Below are 13,172 nucleotides of genomic sequence, written 5' to 3' on the forward strand. Positions count from 1 at the left end.
ATATAGTTATAATAAATATATGGCAGGATAGGGACTGAATGAGTCAAGTCAGGGACACCTTGGCCAGGTGGGTTTCTTAGTTTGAAAAGGTTCTCAGACCTTCCACTTCCTAATACTCCCAAATGGCTCTCATCACCCCATTGCTGTTGATGAATGTCTCCTGTGGCTTTTAGTCCACAGGAAGGAACTGAGCATTCTCCTCTTGCTGAACCTGGAGCTCAGAGGCCAGGAGAAACATAATATATTATATATAATGTCATATATATTATATATTGATCATGCCTATTACCCCAGCACTTTGGGAGGCTGAGGTGAGTGGATGGCTTGAGCCCAGGAGTTTGAGACTAGCATGGGCAACAAGGTGAGACCCCTTCTCTTAAAAAAAAAAAGAAAAAAGAAAAAAAAAGAAAAAGAAAGAAACAAAGGTGTCGGAATCAGGGAGAGAATTTCTTTTCATAATGGTAGAGAAATTAAACTAGGAAGCCTCTTAAGTAAAGTTCTTTCTTATAATAACAATACTGAGCCCTAAGTGTTTTGCACATAGTAACTCATTAATCAAAAACAATCCAATGTGATAGATATCATTGTAATTTCTACTTTATGGATGAGGCAACTGAAGCACAGCGAATATTAGGTAACTGTTAAAGATAAGATTTGAACCCAAGCGGTCTGGCACAGCAGCCGGAACCTCCGACCACCCATCACACAGTTCCGCCTCTATTAGAAGAAGACCACTCTGGTGAGCTTCCTGGGGGAGGAGAAACTCTTGTTACAATAATCAATAATCAATCAAATTTCCAAGGAGATTTCTCTGGACCTTTGGAGGGAGATTCAAAAGCCCTTCTCCATCCCACTTCTAGGTCTGCTTGCTAAGTCAGGAATAAAGCTACCCTGGATCTTCTGGAACTTTCTGTTCTCTGAGGCAGGAGGGCATTTCTTTGGCCAGGACCTCCCAGCTCAGAGGCTCATTGGCCCCAGAAACATGGGTGGCCCACTGGAGGTGGGCTGTGCCAGTTGGCTTTCAGACGGGAAGCTGCTGGGCACGCTTGTTCTCCACCACACCTCTGCAAGGTGAACCTGGGACTGGGAGGGACAGCCTGCTGAGGACTGAGAGCGTGGGACACTTATGACTGTCACACTCCTTCTCTGCAAATCTTCCTCTAAAAGGCTTCCCAGGGCTTGGCTCTGCTTGGTTCTCTGAGCTCCTCCTGCAGGCAGCTGCCTTTCAGTTCACTATTGTATCCCAGTGAATCCAAAATTAGCTTGATTCACAACAGAAAATGAGCACAAAACCCCTCTATAGCCAGAGAGTGATTGTCTACAAAGTCCTATGTGGTAGAAATAAGGCTTTGCCCCAAGGAGCCATCTGGCTGTGTGCCCTCTCCCACACGCACACTTCCATTTGGCACACTTATTGTTATCCTGTGCTGTGAGGGAACAGAGGTACTGGCCACGGATCCATTGCAGAGGAGCCAGCTTATACTCCCACGGTGCTAGGAAGGAGGCGGGACAGGTAAGACAAGCACACAAACCATGGAAAAAACTGGAGGAAACTTTCCACACCTCTTAAGCAACTGGTGCATTTCCCTGTGGTGTAGGTTGAGTAAGTAAGCCCGAGGAGAGAGGATGGGGTGGACTCAGATGCCCAGGGAGGCAAGTCTTGGTTTGGGGTTTTCAGGAAGGCAGGGCCACTTGTAGAGATTGCAGCTGGTGGTGAACTGGGGTCTGTGGAGGTGGCAGGCAGAAATAGCAACTCGTGTGTCCATGGTGGCACCGTTTTCAATGCGCCTTCATAACCATATCTCGTTTGATCCTGACAGTCCCTCTATAAGCAGTTTGCCACTGTCATTTTTCAGATGAAAACATCGAGGCTTAGAGGGGTTTCTGAGTAGCTGAGAAGTCAGGACTTCACACTCCCGATCTTTCCCCTGGCCTCCAGTTTGCCTGGCAAAGTCACAGGAAGTATCTCCATGGCACCGCATCAGCCCTCACAGAGCAGGAAACCTTGATTTCTACAGAGGCTGTTTCCTCCCAGCCTTGTGCAAGGCCCACTGCAGAGACAAAATTATGGTGGCCAAAGTGTGAATGCCAAGGCCACACTGGTAAGAGCCAGTGGCTGGGCAGCTGCAGTCACCCCACCGAAGGTAGACGGGTGTGGCTCAGTGGCAGGCAGAGGCTGGTCCCCACAGGGAGGAGGAGGGAGCCTGTGGGCGGCCCAGGGGCTGCCCCTCTGTCCCCAGGGGAGTGGGTGGAGGCCTGAGGGGGACTGTGCTGAGATGTTTGGTCATCAGAGGTCTGGGTGGGGGGTTGGGGAGGTAAAGCAAGAGTCTCTTATTTTTAAACCAATCAATGAGAGGACAGCTGTTCTTTGTTTCCATGAGCTCAGCAGAAGAGGAAATGGTTTGCCTGTGCGGTGGGGGAGGAGGAGAGGGTAGGGTTTTAGGTTAGTGCCCTGGCTGTGATGAAGTGGAACTTGTTACCCAAGGACTTCCCTTTTAGGCAGAATGTCTGCTTTCCTACCAGGAAGAGTGGCTTGGCCCTCTGCTGAGGCTCTCAGAGGTTCTCCCAGCCTTGGGATCGCTGAGTAAAACCAGTCAGCACCATGTCACCCTATGGAGACTGGTATTACCTTGCGCCTGTGTGTGGTGACAGCGGGCATCCTTTGGCCTGCATAGCAAAGGGCCACTCCCCTCCTTTCCTCCTGTCTCCCTTCTTCCCCAACCCCTCTCTCTTGGAGGACAGAGTCTGCTCCCCTAAATTCTACTGGGTTCTTTTTCAGGCCTCCATCCCTGGGATTTGCTGGTAGAAGAAAGGGAATCAGCGCTGACTGAGCTCCTACTATGTGCCCTTCCTGGGCCTGGCACTGGAATCACAGGATGAATGAATAAGGCATATTTCCTGCCCTGAGGAGGCGTCTATAGGGGAAGTCGGAATTAAGGCACCTCCAGAATTCTGAGGTCAAGGGAATGTCAACAGAGCTGTGAACAAAATGCCCAAAGCCATGAAAATCTACAGAGAGAGACTCGAAGGGGAGGAATGGGGTAGGAGCTGGTGCCGAGGATGAGAGGGGAGAATTCACCTGGTGGAGAACTGATAGGTGGGGGCTGTTTTCAAAGTATTTTCACAAACGTTTATTCTCTTGACTCTCACAATAAACGAAGCCAGCCAGAAAGTATTCTCCCCATTTCAGTGATAAGGAAATGGAGGCTCAGAAGGGTGGAATGGCCCAGGGCAGGGCAAAGCTGGGGTGGAAGCATCGGTCTTGTGCTTCCACACTCATTGCACTTTCTTCCAGGCCAGGCTGAGGTCGGGATGGTGGAGGAGGTGGTGGAGGTGATGAGGTACCAGAGCAACCTCGAAGAAAGCTGAGAGGCAGGAGACCGCCAAAGGCAAACTTGGAACACCTGGTGACTCCGACTAACTCTCCATGTGGTGTCCTTGAGGACTTTTATGATACTGCTACCACTGCTAATAGTAATAAAAGCCACTATTTAATGTGTTTACTATGCGCTGGGTGTGCAAATATTGTGGAAAGAGTGAACATATGTGCAGAATGCTTAATAAACGTGATCTCCTTTTATCTTCAAAAGAACAATACAGGCCAGGTGCGGTGGCTCATGCCTATAATTCCAGCACTTTGGGAGGCCGAGGCAGATGGATTGCTTGAGCTCAAGAAGTTTCAGACCAGCCTGGGCAACATGGCAAAACCCCATCTCTACAAAAAAATACCCAAAAAATTAGCCAGGTGTGATGTTGCCTGCCTGTGGTCCCAGCTACTCCAGAGGTTGAGGTGGGAGAATCGCGTGAGCCCAGAAGGTCAAGGCTGCAGTGAGCTGTGATCCTGCCACTGCACTCCAGCCTGGGGTGACAGAGTGAGACCCTGCCTAAAAAAAAAAGAATCAATACGATTAATACTTTTACTTCTATTTTTCAGACAAGGAAATTGAGGCTCAGAGAGGTTAGGAACTTGCCAGAAGACCTACCAGCAAGTGGCAGAGCTAAGGTCCCATCTGACCCCAAAGCCCACCCATAACCGCTATGCAGTACTGTCCAGGCAGAAACACAAACATTACCCCATTGTTTTTATTCTTCAACACCTTTGGTATCATCCAGTCCCAGGACACTGGCTCCTGAGGAAGGAAGGCCCCTCCCACATCCTTTAAAATTCCCAGGCATAAAACCATGTTCACCAGCCACCGTGAGGGTAAGCCTCAGAGACAGGGACCGTGCCCACAGCCAAAGCAAACTTGCCACATCCTCGGCCAATGCCCTGCCAAGGAGGGCCACTAGCTATTTTTCATGCCTCAAACTCCCACTCTATCACAGCACCCAGAGCTTGGGGATGGGGTGAGTTGTCCCCCCAGACAACTCTCTACCGTGGAGAGACTGGGCCAGGGGAAGTAGAGAGAGGAAGTAGACCTTAGATAGAGGAGCGAATGTGGGTGGCTAAGCACTGTGGGTGTGAAGGGATGGTTGGGAGGCCCTGGGGACTTTCCCCGGAGGCTGAGCTACCCAATTTACTCCCCAACCCACCACAGGCAGGCACGCACACCCATAATTTCAGGCGAGACGAGGCAGGCCTCTGAGAACAGCACTCCAACAGGCTTTATCTGAGTGCTCAGCTGGACTCAGAAATCAGAGCGCCTCCCCCAACCTGCCCCAGGACAGTGAAGGCTCCATGATGAGCCCTGAGTTCTCATCGCAGTTTCTCTTCCTTTTCTGTTTTTTTCTTGGCCTCTGCCTGGCAGGAGGCCTCTGGAAACCCTCGTTTTTCAGGCTGCTTCTCCGTCAGCCCCTAGGCCAGACCTTTTTATTTGACTGGTCTGGGGAAGACATGGGGAGGCCACTTGGCTAATGAGAAGCCAGTCGCCTTACAGCAGTGCCTCTTCTGAGACTTTCTGGGATTCTCTGGAAACACAGATGCCAGTTTTTCTTTTTATTTGCTTGTTTCAGGACAGAAGAGATTGAGTTTCAATAGGAGATGTGATTGTCTTTAAACACCTATGGGAAAATCCCTGGGCTCTGCAGTAAAAATACACACCATGGCTGTCCATGTCATATGCGTCCTTGACACCACCAGGCAAAATGCACAGGCTGTGAAACACATTTGGACGCCCAAAGAGCAGGTCCTCCAGAGCACAAACACCTGCACCCACCCCAGGACAGAAGTGCTCAGGCAGGTGTCACCAGCGCAGCCCCTGGCCCCCGACTTTCCCCACTCCACACCCCCATTCACACAGAAGGGCAAAGACAGCCCACAACCTTGGCTGGCTGCGCTCAGTCCTTGGCTCCAGCTGCCTGGGCAGGGGTTAACGAGGCAGGCGCGGCCACTCCCTCCCGCCACCTGCCACCCACCGCCTCCCTCCCGCGCCGCGTCACTTGTTTTTCTGCTGGGCTTTCCCGCCTCCCGCCGGCCGCTGACGTGGACTGGGGGCGTCACAGCCTCTACCTCAGCTGCCGGGAAGTGCTTCCCTTATATGGGCACAGACTCCGGAGGGGCCGGCAGGGCAGGGGCGCTCTTGGGGAGGGCAACAGCTGCCAGCCATCAAGGGCCAGGCTCTCCTCTCCCAAACAATGCCCAGGCCGGGGCAAAGGTGACCCGCATTTGGAAAAGGGAGGCCAGCCTCCCTGTCTCCTCTCAAGAGCCAGAGCCCAGGCGGGCAGCCTTCCCAGACGCTGTCGCTCTGCATCCTCCCTCTTTGGGTTTCTCATGAAATGTGCAGAGCTAGATTGAAATGCAGATGACCAGGTGGCCTTTCACTGATGCACTCTGATAGTCCCTGAATGCTCTGCATCCCAAAGTCTACGGCCGGAAGGCTGTGATGCTAGGCCACTGTTGGGTGGTAGAAAGGACATCCTTGCCTCTGCCTTGGGGCCTTAAATTTGTCTCATAATTCTTCAGGCCCCAGCTTCCTTCTCCATAAAATATGGAGGATACTGCCCTCGAGCCTTGTAAGGACTAGATGAGTGTTCTGCTTGGTGTAAAACAGCTTTGCAAGCTGTAAAGTGCTATTCAGACTTACAGGTGGTCACTTGGTGCCAGGGAGGAGGAACCTGTTCAGGAGCCCCCTCCAGAACCTGCCTTTCCCGGGCCACACCCATGTGCTGTGAGAATGCCCTTTGACCCTGTTGAAAAGCTTAAGCTGTGTAAATAAAGTCATCTGGAGTTTGCCTCTTGTGTGTACTGTGGCGAGCTGTTTGTCTGGGGCCTCTGTTAGTAAGCAAGTGGTGAGCATGCTGGAGATGATCCTTCCAGCAGGGAGGGGAACCGCGGGTGAGCGGTCATCGTGCAAACGCCTCGCACAGTACTGGACACTGTGCAGCACATGACTGTCTTCTGTTGCTGCTAGTAAGAACTCTTTCCTTCCAAATCCAGCTCAGCTCAAAACTCCCAGGCCCAACAAGCTATTTCCTGCTGACACCTTCACTCCAACTCCTTGGTTAATTGTGAATCGTGTTTGTGCAGTGTGGCTCTGCCCATATTTGCCTGTCTCCTGGCAGCTTTGCGTCTGTGTCCTCGATGTGGATGCTTCTCCCTCCTTGGGAACTTGCAGCGTCCTGTGGGCAGGAACCGTTTCTCCCCAGTCAGAATGAAGAACCCACACTCTCTACCTCTGAGGGTGGGGACTAAATCTCCTTCCTCTTATCACTCTAGGACAAAGACGACAAAAGGTATCCAGATCACGAGGTCAAGTGATTGATTTGTGACCCATGTGACCCATACATAAATGGCAGTGAGCCATAGGGCCAGCCAGACATGGTAAATTTCTGCAGCATTTCTCCTCCCCACTCATTGGCTTCAACGAGCCCCCACGGAACCCTCTCTCAGGGAGGACTGTGCTAGGTAGCCAAGAAGTAGACTGCACAGTGGGCAGGCAGGTATCCTCCCTTTGGAGATGGTTGTCCTCATTAAACATCAGGTATTTGAAGGTGACACCTAATTCCATGCTCCCAGTGGGTAAACTGTTCGTCAGCTGTGCCCAACTGCTCTTTAGGTGCTGGGCAAGATTGGTTCAATGTTTTATTCGAAGATCGATGAGTGATCCAATAGTTTTCCTCAAAATATTCCAGATTCCCCTGGAAGTGGGGATGGAGGGTGGAGAAGACATTCCTTCTCATCAGTGCCTCTGGCTTTGGGATCTCAAGTCAGTTCCTTTTGGGAATCATCCTGCTGACCCTGAGCGCTCTCACTGTTGTGAGCCGTGTCAGGCCTGTCTCTTGTTTCTTCATATGAATTCCTTACAAGGTCTGTATATACATCATGGGCTTTAGTGAAGGTTGGGGTCTCCTGAGGGGGTTAATTTTGCAAAAATGTAAAGAGCTTAAAAAGGGAGTGTTGGGCATTTCTGTTCTTAAACTTCCCTCGGCTTCCTCTCTCACATTGGCTCTAGGCCCTCCCAACACCATTTTAAGGTTACTCAAGCCCCCTTTTTTTGCTGCTCTCTCTCAGGAACAAAAATATAGATTCCTCTTGTTTTCTTCTGTGGAGTAATTCAGCTCTAACCTCCAGCCACACCTCTGAACCTGTCTAAGAATTCAACGAGATAGGTCCAAAGCTTCTGAGTGTGTAAGTTCGTAGGCAAAGAGCCACTTTTTTTTTCTTTTTTTTTTTGAGACGGAGTTTCGCTCTTGTTGCCCAGGCTGGAATGCAATGGCACAATCTCGGCTCACTGGAATCTCTGCCTCCCAGGTTCAAGCGATTCTTCTGCCTCAGCCTCCCGAGTAGCTAGGATTACAGGCAAGCGCCACTACGCCCTGCTAATTTTGTATTTTTAGTAGAGACAGGGTTTCTCCATGTTGGTCAGGCTGGTCTTGAACTCCCGACCTCAGGTGATCTGCCCGCCTCAGCCTCCCAAAGTGCTGGGATTACAGGTGTGAGCCACTGCGCCTGGCCGAGCCGCTTTTTTTAAGCCTGGCAGGTCAGGCTGGAAGATCGTGGTGGTGGTCTTCCTGGACTTATGCAATGTTTTTACATAAGGATATTGACTTACAATAGATTCTGCTGAATTCAAAAAATAGGGGACACAGAGTTGTTCTCTTTCTAGGAGCTTACCCATTCCCACTAAGATAATCATTCTGTTACATGTTTGGGAGCTCAATCGTCTCAAAGCCCTCTTAGACATACCTCATAACCTTCCTGTCTCCATTCACCTCATGAGTTTTTGCCATGGGTTCCACCTTGCTTCTACACAACTCTAATGCTTCAGGGAGGCAGCTGAAACCACCTGGGGCCACCTGACTATTTGACCGAGCGAGGCTCAACCCCTGACCTCAGAGAGTTCCTGAGCCAAGAGGGAAGGAAGGAAACCCTGAAATAAGGATAGAAAGAAATGTAGAGATGATATTGATTGTTACTATCCCAGCCATTATCCTGATTACTTCTGTTGTCGTTATGGGCTCTTATGAAAGGTAAACCCAATTGAGGAAGATACTAAATGCCAACTGAGAACAACTTCAGACTCTTTGGCTCCAGTATTCCAACATAGGGATTCATATCATAAATTTCTTCTTGAGGAATGTGTGGATGTAGCGGGCTGGTGGGGGTGGGTTTTAACAGGCTAACTTGAATGCTTTTTTATATTTCACAATGAAAACTATATAATGCAGGTATTTCCCTTTTTACCTTGGCTTCCTGGAAGTTCAAAGATAAATTTAGGTGTCAAAGAAGTATCTGATTCAAACAAGTTTGTAAATATCTATCTTTCTCTTTCTTCCTCCTACTACCAATTCGTTTCTGATCTTTAATATAATATAAACACACACATAAAATCATCCTCTATGTGGTTTAATATTTTAAGCTGTCTCAAATTCTTCTTGGAAGTAAGCAAAGTATAAATTATAAGTAATAATAGTTAACATGTACTGACCACTATTATGTGCCAGACACTATTCTAAGTATTGTAAACTCATTTGATTCTCCCAACAACTCTAAGAGGTAAGAATTACTATTAATCTCATTTTATAGATAAAGAAATTAAGGCACAGAAAGCTTCAATAACTTGCCTAAGGTAGCACAGCTAGGATTTGAACCTAAGCAGTGTGGCTTTAAGGGATGTGCTCTGCCCATCGCACTAGAACAAATCCGTCAGTTCAAAAACTTAATTAGCCCATCCAGGGACACCAATGTAAAAAAGCATAATTATATGCCATCGGAGCCAGTCATCATCAAAACAAGACTGATATAAGGCCAGGTGCCTATAATCCCAACACTTTGGGACGCCGAGGTGGGCAGATCCCTTGAGGTCAGGAGTTTGAGACGAGCCTGGCCAACATGGAGAAACCCCGTCTCTACTAAAAATAACAAAAATTAGCCAGGTGTGGTGGCGCACAGCTGTAATCCCAGCTACCCAGGAAGCTGAGGCAGGAGAATAGCTTGAACACGGGAGATGGAGGTTGCTGTGAGCCGAGACCATGCCACTATACTCCAGCCTAAGCAACAGAGTGAGATCCTGTCTCAAAAAAAAAGACTAATATATCATAACAAGCAGCTCAGGCCACCCATTCTTAATCTAAATAAAGATTCCTTTCCACTCCTCCCCAACCTTATTCTTAGTGGAAGGGATGGAGGAAGTAGGATTTAGAATCCTTTCCCACCCTTCCCTAGCCCACTCTCACCCCACTACCCCAGCCCCCTTTTTAGAGACTTTCCTGACATGTCCATTGCCCTATATGTTCCTTACTTTTTTCTTCAATAATGTGGGAAAAATAATGTTTTCACTCCTTCTGTATCACTTGCACGGAGATAATTAGTCAGCTTTTTGATGGACAAAGAGCTGAACAGAGAGAATTTCAGGCAGAGCAAATAATATGAGTAAAGGTACAATAAGCTGGGCACTCAGCTACTCAGGAGGCTGAGGGAGGATGATCACTCGAGGTGAGGAGTTTGATGCTGTAGGGAGCTATGTTCATGCCTGTGAGTAAGCACAGCACTCCAGAGCCTGGGCAACATGGCAAGACCTCACTGTTGAAACTACAAAGGCACAATGGTATGAAAGTGCAAAGTATGTATTTGAGAAACACTGAGAATGGGTTAATTGAGCTTTGAGGTTGGGCCAGATTGTAAAGGCCTTGAAGGCCAAACCAAGAATTAAACTTTCAACTGTAGGGAGCCTTCAGAGCTTTTAAACATGAAAGAGACAAGACAGACCTGTAGTTTAGGAGCTCTGACAGCAGAGTATGGACTGAGGAAAGGGCAGGAAGGGAAGCACTTCAGGCAAAGAGACCACTTAGGGAACTGTTGAAACTATCCAAGAACGATCTAACAGTTGGTGGCTTCAGTGATGCTGAGTAGAAGGTATTTCAAGAGGATAACTGACAGGACTGGGCCAGTAATTGGATATGGGATCCGCTCAGGAAGTAGGGCTCCAGGATATCTTGTCACCTCATCAGGAAAATCCTCTCTTGCTGGCAGGTGATCACGTATTCCACTAGGACCCAAGGAGTCATCAATGTGAACCATAGATGACAGATTAAGAGGCAGGGTGGGTCTCCTAGCCCAATACTCTTTTGTTACATATAAGCAAACTAAGGCTCAGGGAACTCCAACCATCTCTCCCTTTCTCCTAGCTCCTTCCTCCAAACCACACGGATCCCTGGACCTGAACCCATGGTGCAGTAGAGAAGTACCTCAGGCCCAGAGCCAGGAGGCCACAGGTGAGAAGCTGCAGTACCTCTTCTTTAGACTTTTTCTTGTGTCCTCCTTTCTGAATCTGTCTTCCTCTTCCCTTCAGCCCCCATCCCCCAGGTGGTCTCTGGCTGTCACAGCTGTGATGCCAGCTTCCTGCTTGCCCCAGACACTCAGCCCCAGGAGGCCCAGCCCCATTACGGCTCTGCCAAAACAACATCTGGGGAAGCTCCAATAGGTTCAGGGCCTCTTCTCTTGTTTTTTGTCTGGAGATAAAGGGGGTTTATCCTGGGCCCCTGGGAGTGAGGATGAGGAGGGTTTACAACATGTCTGTCTTCTAAATTTGGGAAAGAGGCAATAAATTCAGCTTCAGATCTGCTTCTGTCCCAAGTCCATGTGTTCCCCTGTGAGTTTCTGGCACTTTCAGTCACACCTTCTCGTACCATAGGAGAAGGCCTAGAGGGAGAAGGTGTGGGAGGTCACATTCTTGGGGGGCCTCCAGGATAACAGACTTTTAGCAGATCGTTCCCATCCTTTTGCTCCTGATACACCGAGGGAGTCGCAGAAACAAAAACACATCACTAGGGACCTTTCCAGCCATATTGGTCTGGCCATCTGTCCACGTCTCTTCCCCTTCCCCAGCTCCCACCTCATCCCGTCTTCACTGTCTCTCCTGTACCCTCCGCCATCCTTCTTGCCTTCACCCTTCCCTGACCACACAGCCAGGGTGGCAAAGGAGGGTGAGAAGCCCAGATCATTCATCTTCCCACAGACACTACTGGGTTAGTAGAGCACAGCAGCTGAGAAGCAACCCTCAGGGGAATACATGCCTTTGGGGGGAGCAGATTCCTTCCCCAGATGGGGCCTGGCATAGAGTCAGCTTTAGTTACAAGCTTGATGAATTCCTAACACTTTCCAGCCCCTCCCTCCCAGCAGCAGGAGAGTGGGCCTGTGTGGGCCAACGCGATGCAGAGTAACATGGAGAGGATGAAGAGGTGAGTTAGGGGAGCACACAGCCTGCATCCAGGACCCTGGAGGCCCTGTCCCTCCGAGACACGAAGACCACTCTGCAGTCGTCAAGGCAGTGGCTGGCCCCTGACAGCAGAAATGGAAGTTCCCTGGAGGTTGTCTTTCTCTGCCCTGTGCAGCACTCTGGGTCTCATGTCTCAGTTGCCAGGCCTCTCTCCTAGAACCCTGTGTTTGGTTGCCACCTCCAAGGCCCAGACAAGACTAAAATCCTCACTCCCTCTATGGATGCTGGTCACTGTCCGAAGGACACATGTTCTCATCCCCATTCCACTGTGGGTGTGCTCTGTGGTAGTCTAACTCTCACCACCCTCCTTTCCAAACCCTTTCATTGAGCCCCCTTTGGGCCCAGAAAAGTCCCCTATATCCTCACCCCTCCAAGCATTTTCTCCATCTCCTGGCATTCCCTCAAACAGGCTGTGTCAAGAGAAGCCTGTTTTTCTGCCTCACCCAACACTCCTCAGAATGAGGCAGTGGGGACCAATGTGTCTTGCTCTATGTTAGCCTTTCCCTGCCATCATTCCTCATGCCTTTCTCCGAAGTTCATTTATCCCACTGTCTCATCAACATGGGCCCTCCCGGCCGCTCTTTCTCATTGACTAAAGATCTTGCCCTGCGAGGGTTAGGGCCTTTCTCTGTACTCTAAATTCCTGCTACCACCTGATGAAACATCAACTTCTATGTGAGTAGCTGAACTCATTCTGCTCCTGGGCTCCTCTGTGTCTCCAAGTGGCCATCTCACGCACTCAGCCTCCAGCCCTCACCCCCAGATAGACACTTGGAATGCTGATACCAACTCCCAAACCCACCATGGTCCACCGCTGGCTCCCAGGGGAACCCAATACATATTCCTTGAGTAAGTGAATACATGAATAAAGCCAGGGTCACATGATGGGAATCTGGCCTAATGGAAAGGGCCCTAGGCTGGGTGGGAGATCTAGGTTCTAGTCCTAGCCCTGCCACTAAGTAGCTGTGTAACTTTGGACATCTTTTTTTCATCTCATGGCTTTCTTTTCTCCATCTGAAGAATTAAAATTTTTGTGTAGATTATTTCTGAAAACCCTGCTTCTGACAGTTGGCAATTATGAGATATGGTTTGCTGAGCATCTATAATACTTAGGTAGTATGCTAGGTGCTTCCTATAAATTACCTCTCATATACCTAATAACTAAAGGCCAGGTGAGGTGGCTCACGCTTGTAATCTCAGCACTTTGGGAGGCTGAGGCAGGCAGATCACGAGGTCAGGAGTTCAAGACCAGCCTGGCCAAGATGGTGAAACCCCGTCTCTACTTAAAATACAAAAATTAGCCAGGCGTGGTGGCAGGCACCTGTAATCCCAGTTACTCAGGAGCCTGAGGCAGGAGAATCACTTGAACTCGGTGGGGGGCAGAGGCTGCAGTGAGCCGAGATCTCGCCATTGCACTCCAGCCTGGGTGACAGAGTGAGACTTCATCTAAAAAAAAATATATATATATATATACACACACACACACACACACATATATATATATGATATGTATGT

At 49.3% G+C, this 13,172-nt stretch overlaps 1 long non-coding RNA gene across 2 annotated transcripts, besides 4 other annotated features; it reads left to right on the plus strand.

The window, feature by feature from the left end:
• Nucleotides 1,749–2,948: an enhancer, noted in NCBI's record as "CDK7 strongly-dependent group 2 enhancer chr1:203256086-203257285 (GRCh37/hg19 assembly coordinates)". NCBI's record gives its function as "activates an origin of replication core promoter dependent on BRD2, BRD4, P300/CBP, MED14 and CDK7 cofactors, with strong dependence on CDK7, by STARR-seq in HCT116 cells {active_cell/tissue: HCT116}" and the evidence as "EXISTENCE:reporter gene assay evidence [ECO:0000049][PMID:35650434]".
• LINC01353 (long intergenic non-protein coding RNA 1353) lies at nt 1,943–3,589 on the plus strand. 2 transcript variants are annotated; one of them, NR_117097.1, is made up of 3 exons: nt 1,943–2,102; nt 2,780–3,097; nt 3,296–3,589. It is a non-coding gene; the product is annotated as a long intergenic non-protein coding RNA 1353 (long non-coding RNA). The 2 variants fall into 2 exon arrangements; NR_117098.1 differs by lacking the exon at nt 1,943–2,102 and adding an exon at nt 2,491–2,622 and having other exon boundaries at nt 2,780–3,041.
• Nucleotides 4,336–4,895: an enhancer, noted in NCBI's record as "active region_2343". NCBI's record gives its function as "activates an Ori minimal core promoter by ATAC-STARR-seq in GM12878 lymphoblastoid cells {active_cell/tissue: GM12878}" and the evidence as "EXISTENCE:reporter gene assay evidence [ECO:0000049][PMID:35858748]".
• Nucleotides 5,106–5,505: a silencer, noted in NCBI's record as "silent region_1718". NCBI's record gives its function as "represses an Ori minimal core promoter by ATAC-STARR-seq in GM12878 lymphoblastoid cells {active_cell/tissue: GM12878}" and the evidence as "EXISTENCE:reporter gene assay evidence [ECO:0000049][PMID:35858748]".
• Nucleotides 11,150–11,651: an enhancer, noted in NCBI's record as "H3K4me1 hESC enhancer chr1:203265487-203265988 (GRCh37/hg19 assembly coordinates)". NCBI's record gives its function as "activates a minimal SCP1, AML or CMV promoter by ChIP-STARR-seq in primed H9 embryonic stem cells {active_cell/tissue: H9 hESC(primed)}" and the evidence as "EXISTENCE:reporter gene assay evidence [ECO:0000049][PMID:30033119]".

This window comes from Homo sapiens, chromosome 1, assembly GCF_000001405.40.
Source record: "Homo sapiens chromosome 1, GRCh38.p14 Primary Assembly".
Classification (NCBI taxonomy): domain Eukaryota; kingdom Metazoa; phylum Chordata; class Mammalia; order Primates; family Hominidae; genus Homo; species Homo sapiens.